This window comes from Homo sapiens, chromosome 7 (genome assembly GCF_000001405.40).
Source record: "Homo sapiens chromosome 7, GRCh38.p14 Primary Assembly".
In the NCBI taxonomy this organism is placed as follows: domain Eukaryota; kingdom Metazoa; phylum Chordata; class Mammalia; order Primates; family Hominidae; genus Homo; species Homo sapiens.
Genome location: NC_000007.14, coordinates 9,451,364 through 9,459,865, shown reverse-complemented (window position 1 = coordinate 9,459,865; position 8,502 = coordinate 9,451,364). Strand labels below are relative to the sequence as shown.

Genomic DNA, 8,502 nt, shown 5'->3' with positions numbered 1-8,502 from the left:
AGTCATATGGGCTGAAAGAGGTTTCCTCACTACACAAGGGTCCTCCATCATTAATGCCTCTTTAATAAAAACTCTGCTCAAGGCAGCTTTACTTCCAAAGGAAGCTGGGGTCATTCACTGCAAGGGGCATCAAAAGGTGCCAGATCCCATTTCTCTAGGCAACGCTTATGCTGATAAGGTGGCTAGACAAGCAGGTAGCTTTCCAACTTCTGTCTCTCACAGCAACGCTTATGCTGATAAGGTGCCTAGACAAGCAGCTAGCTCTCCAACTTCTGTCCCTCACGGCCAGTTTTTCTCCTTCACATCAGTCACTCCCACCTACTCCCCTGCTGAAACTTCCACCTATCAATCTCTTCCTACACAAGGCAAATGGTTCTTAGACCAAGGAAAATATCTCCTGCCAGCCTCACAGGCCCATTCTATTCTGTCGTCATTTCATAACCTCTTCCATGTAGGTTACAAGCCGCTAGCCCATCTCTTAGAACCTCTCATTTCCTTTCCATCATGGAAATCTGTCCTCAAGGAGATCACTTCTCAGTGTTCCAGCTGCTATTCTACTGCCCCTCAGGGATCGTTCAGGCCTCCTCCCTTTCCTACACATCAAGCTCGGGGATTTGCCCCTGCCCAGGACTGGCAAATTGACTTTACTCATATGCCTCGAGTCAGAAAACTAAAATATCTCTTAGTCTGGGTAGACACTTTCACTGGATGGGTAGAGGCCTTTCCCACAGGGTCTGAGAAGACCACCACGGTCATTTCTTCCCTTCTGTCAGACATAATTCCTGGGTTTGGCCTTCCCACCTCTATACAGTCTGATAACGGACCAGCCTTTATTAGTCAAATCAGCCAAGCAGTTTTTCAGGCTCCTGGTATTCAGTGAAACCTTTATATCCCTTACAGACCTCAGTCTTCAGGAAAAGTAGAACAGACTAAAGGTCTTTTAAAAACACATCTCACCAAGCTCAGCCACCAACTTAAAAAGGACTGGACAATACTTTTACCACTTTCCTTTCTCAGAATTCAGGCCTGTCCTCAGAATGCTACAAGGTACTGCCCATTTGAGCTCCTGTATAGATGCTCCTTTTTATTAGGCCCCAGTCTCATCCCAGACACCAGACCAACTTAGACTGCACCCCAAAAAACTTGTCATCCCTACTATTTTCTGTCTAGTCATACTCCTATTCACCATTCTCAACTACTCCTACATGCCCTGCTCTTGTTTACACTGCCGGTTTACACCCTTTCTCCAAGCTATCACAGCTGATATCTCCTGGTGCTATCCCTAAACCACCACTCTTAAGTCTTAACGTAAATAAATAATCTTTGCTGGCAAGGCTATGCTGAACCTCCTTAGGCACTCTCTAATTAGATGTCCTAGGTCCTCCCAATTCTTAGTCCTTTAATACCTGTTTTTCTCCTCATCTTATTCCGTTTAGTTTTTCAATTCATACAAAACCGTATCCAGGCCATCACTAATAATTCTACACGACAAATGTTTCTTCTAACAAACCCACAATATCACCCCTTACCACAAAAACTTCCTTCAGCTTAATCTCTCCCACTCTAGGTTCCCACGCAGCCCCTAATCCCTCTTGAAGCAGCGCTGAGAAACATCGCCCATTCTCTCTCTCCATACAACCCCCCAAAAATTTTCGCTGCCCCAACACTTCAACACTATTTTGTTTTATTTTTCTTATTAATATAAGAAGGCAGGAATGTCAGGCCTCTGAGCCCAAGCTAAGCCATCGCATGTCCGGTGACTTGCACGTATATGCCCAGATGGCCTGAAGTAACTGAAGAATCACAAAAGAAGTGAAAATGCCCTGCCCCACCTTAACTGATGACATTCCACCACAAAAGAAGTGAAAATGGCCAGTCCTTGCCTTAACTGATGACACTGTCTTGTGAAATTCCTTCTCCTGGCTCATCCTGGCTCACAAGCTCCCCTACTGAGCACCTTGTGACACCCACTCCTGCCCGCCAGAGAACAACCCCCCTTTGACTGTAATTTTCATTTACCTACCCAAATCTTATAAAATGGCCCCACCCCTATCTCCCTTTGCTGACTCTCTTTTCAGACTCAGCCCACCTGCACCCAGGTGATTAAAAGCTTTATTGCTCACACAAAGCCTGTTTGGTGGTCTCTTCATACAGATGCGCATGAAACTAACACTGAATATAAATAGTCAAATACCCCACTTAAAACGGATAGAGTGGCAAACTGGATAAAAAGACAAGGCCCAACTTTCTGCTTTCTTCAAGAGACCTATCTCACATGTAACAACACCTGCAGGCTCAACGTAAAGGGGTGGATAAATATCTACCATGCAAACAGAAAAGAAAAAGAGCAGAAGTTGTTATTCTTATATCAGGTAAAACAGACATTCAATCAATAGCAAATAAGATGGACAAAGAAAGGCAGTACATAATGACGAAGAGTTCAATTCAACAAGAATCAACTATCCTAAATATACAGGCACCAAATATTGGAACACTCATATTTATAAAATCAGCCCAGCTTGAGCAATGCAAATATCTAGACAGCCACACAATAATAGTGGGAGACTTCAATACCCCACTCATAGCATTCATAACATTAGAAAATTATCAAGGCAGAAAATTATACAAAAAAAATCTAGACTTAAACTTGGCACTGAATCAATTGGACCAATAGACATCTACAGAACACTCCACTCAACAACCACAGTATAATTCTTCTCATCTGTACATGAAACATTTTCTAAGATTGACCACATGTTTTGTTATAAGCAAGTCTTAATAAATTCAAAAACATCAAAATCGTACCAAGCACACTTTCAGACCACAGTGCAATAAAAATAAAAATCAATATCCAGATCTCTCAAAGCTACATAAATACATGGCAATTACACAACTTGCTTCTGAATAACCCATGTGAACAATGAAAGTAAGCTCCAAACCAAAATGTCCTTTGAAATTAATAAAAATAGAGACACAACTTACCAAAATCATTGGGATGCAGCAAAGGCAATGTTAAGACAAAACTATACAACACAAAATGTCTTTATCAAGAAGTTAGAAAGATCTCAAATAAATAATCTAATATTGCACATAAAGGAATTAGAAAAAAAAAAAGGACAAACCAACTCTAAAGCTAGCAGAAGAAAATAAATGACTAAAATCAGAGAAGAACTGAATGAAATTGAGACACAAAACTCCATACAAAAGATCAATGAAGGCCAGGTGCGGTGGCTCACACCTGTAATCCCAGCACTTTGAGAGGCCGAGGTGGGCAGATCACGAGGTCACGAGATCGAGACCATCCTAGCTAACATGGTGAAACCCCATCTCTACTGAAAATACAAAAAATTAGCTGGGCGTGGTGGTGGGCGCCTGTAGTCCCAGCTACTCAGGAGGCTGAGGCAGAAGAATGGTGTGAACCCAGGAGGTAGAGTTTGCAGTGAGCCAAGATTGCGCCACACTGCACTCCAGCCTGGGCGACAGAGCAAGACTCCGTCAAAAAAAAAAAAAAAAAAAAAAAAAATCAACGAAATCAAGAGTTGGTTTGAAAAAATAAATATGAATAATAGACTGTTAAAAAGATTAACAAAGAAATAAAAGGAGAAGACACAAATAAGTACAATTAACAATGACAAAGATGACATTATACCCAATGTCACAGAAATACAAAATATCCTCAAAGAGTATTATGAACACTTCTATGCACACAAATGAGAAAATCTAGAGGAAACAGATAAATTTCTCAAAACATAAAGCCTCCCAAAATTGAACCAGAAAGTAAATGAAAACTTGAACTGACCAATACCAAGTTCTGAAATTGAATAAGTGATAAGCAAACTTACTGAATTAATGAAAGCACCAAGCCAGATGGATTCAGAGCCACATTCTACCAGATGTACAAAGAACAACTGATGTGAATGCTACTGAAACTATTCAAAAAAACAAGAAAGAGGGGACTCCTCCTGAACTCATTCTATACAGCCAGAATCATTAAGAAAACAAAATATGACAGTTACACAAGGAAAAAAGTAAACTTCAGGCCAAAATCCCTGATGAATATAGATGGAAAAATCCTTAACAAAATACTACAAATTGAACTCAGCACCACATCAAATAATTAATATATCATGATCAAGAAGGCTTTATTTTTGGCATGCAAGGCTATTACACCATATGCAAATCAATAAATGTGATTTATCATATAAGCAGAATTAAAATCAAAATCCATGTGATAATTTCGATAGAAGCAGAAAAGGCTTTCAATAAAATTCAACATACCTTTATGACAAAAACCCTCAACAGACTAGGCATTAAAGGAACATATCTCAAAATAATAAGAGGCATCTGTGACAACGTAACAGCCAACATGATACTGAATGAACAATTGCTGGAAACATTCTCCTTGAGAATTGTAATGAGATCCCCCACTCACCACTCCTATTCAACATAGTACTGGAAGTGCCAGCAAGAGTAATCAGGCAAGAAAAAGAAAAAAATGTATCCAAATCTGAGAGGAAGTTAAACTATCTCTCTTGACTGATAATATGATTCTATATCTAGAAAACCCTAAACACTCCAACGAAAGTTTTCTAGAACTTATAACAACTTCAGTAAAGTTTTAGAATACAAAATCCAAACACAAAAATCACAAGCTTTTTTATACAACAATAACATTCAAGCTGTGAACCAAATCAAGAACATGATTCTATTTACAATAGCCACAAAGAAAATGAAATAGCTAGTAATGCAGCTTATCCAGGAAGTGAAAGATCTCTAAAAGGAGAACTACAAAACCCTGCTGAATGAGATCATAGATGACACAAATAAATGGAAAAATCTTTTATGCTCATGGATTGGAAATAAAAAAATGTTAAAATGGCCATACTGCCCAAAGCAATCTACAGATTCAATGCTATTATTATTAAACTGTCAACTTCATTTCCCACATAGCTGGGAAAAAATACTCTGGAATTCCTATGGAACAAAAACAGAGCCCAAATAGCTAAGGAAATCCTAAGCAAAAGAACAAAGCCAGAGCCATCACATTACCTGACTTCGAACTATACTATAAAGCTAAGGTAACCAGTATATCATGGTGCTGGCACAAAAACAAAGACCAGTGGAACAGAATAGAGAACATAGAAATAAAGCTACACACCTAGAGCTCTCTAATGGTTAAAAAAGTCAACAAAAATAAGCAATGTGGAAAGAATTCCCTGTCAATAAATGGTGCTGGGATGGCTGGATAGGCATATGCAAAAGAAAGAAACTGGACTTCCTACCTTTTACTATACACAAAAGTCAACACAAGATGGATTAAAAAATTAAATGTAAGACCTCAAACTATAAAAATCCTAGAAGAAAACTTAGGCAACATCTTTCTTGATATTGGCCTTGGCAAAGATTTCTTGGCTAAGTCCCCAAGAGGAAGTGCAACAAAAATGAAAATTGACAAGTGGGACCTAATTAAACTAAAGAGCTTCTGCACAGCAGAAAAACAACAACAACAAACTATCAACAGAATAAACAGATAATCTACAGAATGGGAGCGAATATTCACAAACTATGCATCTGACGCAGGTCTAATATCCAGGATCTATAAGGAACTTAAGTCAGCAAGCAAAATACAAAAAAATCTCATTAAAGGCTGGGTGAGGTGGTTCACGCCTGTAATCCCAGCACTTTGAGAGGCTGAGGCAGGTGGATCACGAGGTCAGGAGATCGAGACCATCCTGGCTAACACGGTGAAACCCCATCTCTACAAAAAATACAAAACATTAGCCGGGCGTGGTGGCGGGTGCCTGTAGTCCCAGCTACTAGGGAGGCTGAGGCAGGACAATGGCGTGAACCTGGGAGGCGGAGCTGGCAGTGAGCGGAGATCGCGCCACTGCACTCTAGCCTGGGCGACAGAGTAAGACTCCATCTCAAAAACAAAACAAAACAAAAAACAAAACAAAAAAACTCATTAAAAAATGGGTAAAGGACATGAGCAGAAACTTCATAAAAGAGAACACAGAAGGAGCCAACACACAGTTTAAAAATACTCTGCACCATTAATCATCAGAGAAATGCAAATCAAAACCACAATGAGATATAATCTCACATTCATCAGAATGGCCATTAAAAGGTCAAAAAGCAATAGATACTGGTGAGGCTGCAGAGCAAAATAAACGTTTATACGCCATTGGTAGGAATGCAAAATTAGTTCAGCCTCTGTGAAAAGCAGTCTGGAGATTTCTCAAAGATCTTAAAAGAGAACTACTATTCGACCCTGCAATTCCTTTACTGGATGTATACCCATCGGAAAATAAATCATTCTACCCAAAAGACACATGCACTTTTATGTTCATCCCAGCACTATTCACAATAGCAAAGACATGGAATCAAGCTAGGTGCCCATCAGTGGTGGATTGAATAAAGAAAATATGGGACATACACTTCTTGGAATACTATGCAGCCATACAAAAAGCATGAAGTCATGTCCTTTACAGCAACATGGATGCAGCTGGAGGCCATAATCCTAAATGAATTAATTCCAGAACAGAAAACAAAATACCTCATGTTTTCACTTATAAGTGGGAATTAAACACTGAGTGTACATGGACATAGAGATGCAAACAATAGACACAGGGACTACTCGAGGGAGGAGAGAGAAAGCGGGTCCTTGTGGTGAAAAACTACCTCTGTGCTACTATACTCACCACCTGGGTAATGAGATAATCTGTACCCCAAACCCATCACACGTTATACCCATGTAAGAAAACTGCACATGTAGCCCCTAAACCTAAAATAAAAGTAGATATTATTAAAAACATAAAAACAAGAAATTACTCAAGGTGTTGCCTTGTAAAGTTTCTGTCTCCTACCACTGTGGCACTGTGTTTATATAGCATATTCAAAATTAAAATGATACTATTGTGACTGCAAACATGAGCTTTTATAATTTTGGCATTCTTCTACCTACCTCCTTGAACAATGAGACTTCTTTTCCCCCTTTCTGATTCTTATTATTTTTACATGTTTTTTTTTTTAAATCTTATTGTGCTAGCTACAACTTTCATTACTAATGTTGAATAGAAATGGGGATAGTGGCCATCATTTCCTTATTTCTTCTTAAAAGGAAAAGCTTTTATTGTTTCACAGTTGACTATGCTATTTGCTATTTATTTTCATCCTTTTAATTGGATTAAATTTAAACAAATGCCTTTTTATTATTTCTCTAAAAGTTTGCATTTTTTTCAATCAATAGATGTTATCAAGGATGTCTTCTTCATCTATTAAGATGCTTATGTGATTTTTCTCCTTTACTTTGTGATTGTAATGGAATATAATAAATGAATATAATAAATGGTTTTCCCACTGTTAAATCATTCCTGTTTAGTCATGACATGTCGTTTTCAGTATTTTTTTGATATGTTGTGGATTCATTTTGCCTTTTTATTTATTTATTTTTCTAGAGGAAAGAGAGTTTCTGTCTACATACTTGAGTAGGGTAACTTTTCTGTGTGAGAATAACTTTTTTAAACTGGTCCTTTCAAGATTTGGAATCAAGGCAAAAAGAGTTGGAAAACCTGCTATATTTTCTTTTTAATTGTATTGAAAAGTGTTTACATAAAATTGAAATTACATGTTCCTTCAAATTGAGAATTCATTGAAGATGATATGTTGGATTGAGCTTTTGTGGAAATATGTTTTTTAATACTCATTAAGTTTAACTAATGGTTATATGACCATACAAATCCTGTTTCTTCTTTAGCTGGTAAATTGTATTCTAGGATAATTTTCATATCACAAAAATCTTTAGTTTTAATTTATGGCCATGTTACTCATGAGAGTCTCATAGTCTCTTTTTAAAAAATGTGTATCTTTGAATTTTATAATTTTATTTTTTGGGGGGGGGGGTTTATTTTATAACAACTGAAGTCAAAGGAGGACATGCAATTGACTAGCTATTTGACTTGATAAAATTAGAGTTTTAGATTTATTAACCCTGAACTCCGTACTGACCATATAGGGGATAAGAAAATAGGGAACATTAAGTACAATATAAATATGTTCATTATGACAAGAAAGCCTAGATTATTGTAATCATTTTACAACTGTAAAATGATGGTTAAATTTAAAAGGTAAAATGTCTGGCAATAAACATTGAAAAACAGCTAAGGTATTAATTTTTTTTTCCTATAAAACAATGCCTACCTGATAGGGTGTGTTTACATGGCATATTCAGTGATACATTAGGGTAGATCATGAGTATAAATTTGATACCATGTACAGAAATTCAAAAAGTATTCTATAGGCAATTTGGTGCCAAGTTAAAGCCAAATGGGCAGGGCTGCAATTGTAAAATATATTTCTGGCATAATTATGAAGGATTAATTTAAATACAGGCAGAGTCTATAAAAAGTCAGGTATAATTTATTCTCTTTACCTTGCTTTCTTTAACAGGCTTAATAATCTCAATTATAGATAATTTATAAAAGTTAACAAATGGATTCTGGT

General features: G+C 37.4%; 1 annotated feature.

Annotated features, from left to right (window-relative positions):
• Positions 1,627–2,319: an enhancer, noted in NCBI's record as "NANOG hESC enhancer chr7:9497177-9497869 (GRCh37/hg19 assembly coordinates)". NCBI's record gives its function as "activates a minimal SCP1, AML or CMV promoter by ChIP-STARR-seq in naive H9 embryonic stem cells {active_cell/tissue: H9 hESC(naive)}" and the evidence as "EXISTENCE:reporter gene assay evidence [ECO:0000049][PMID:30033119]".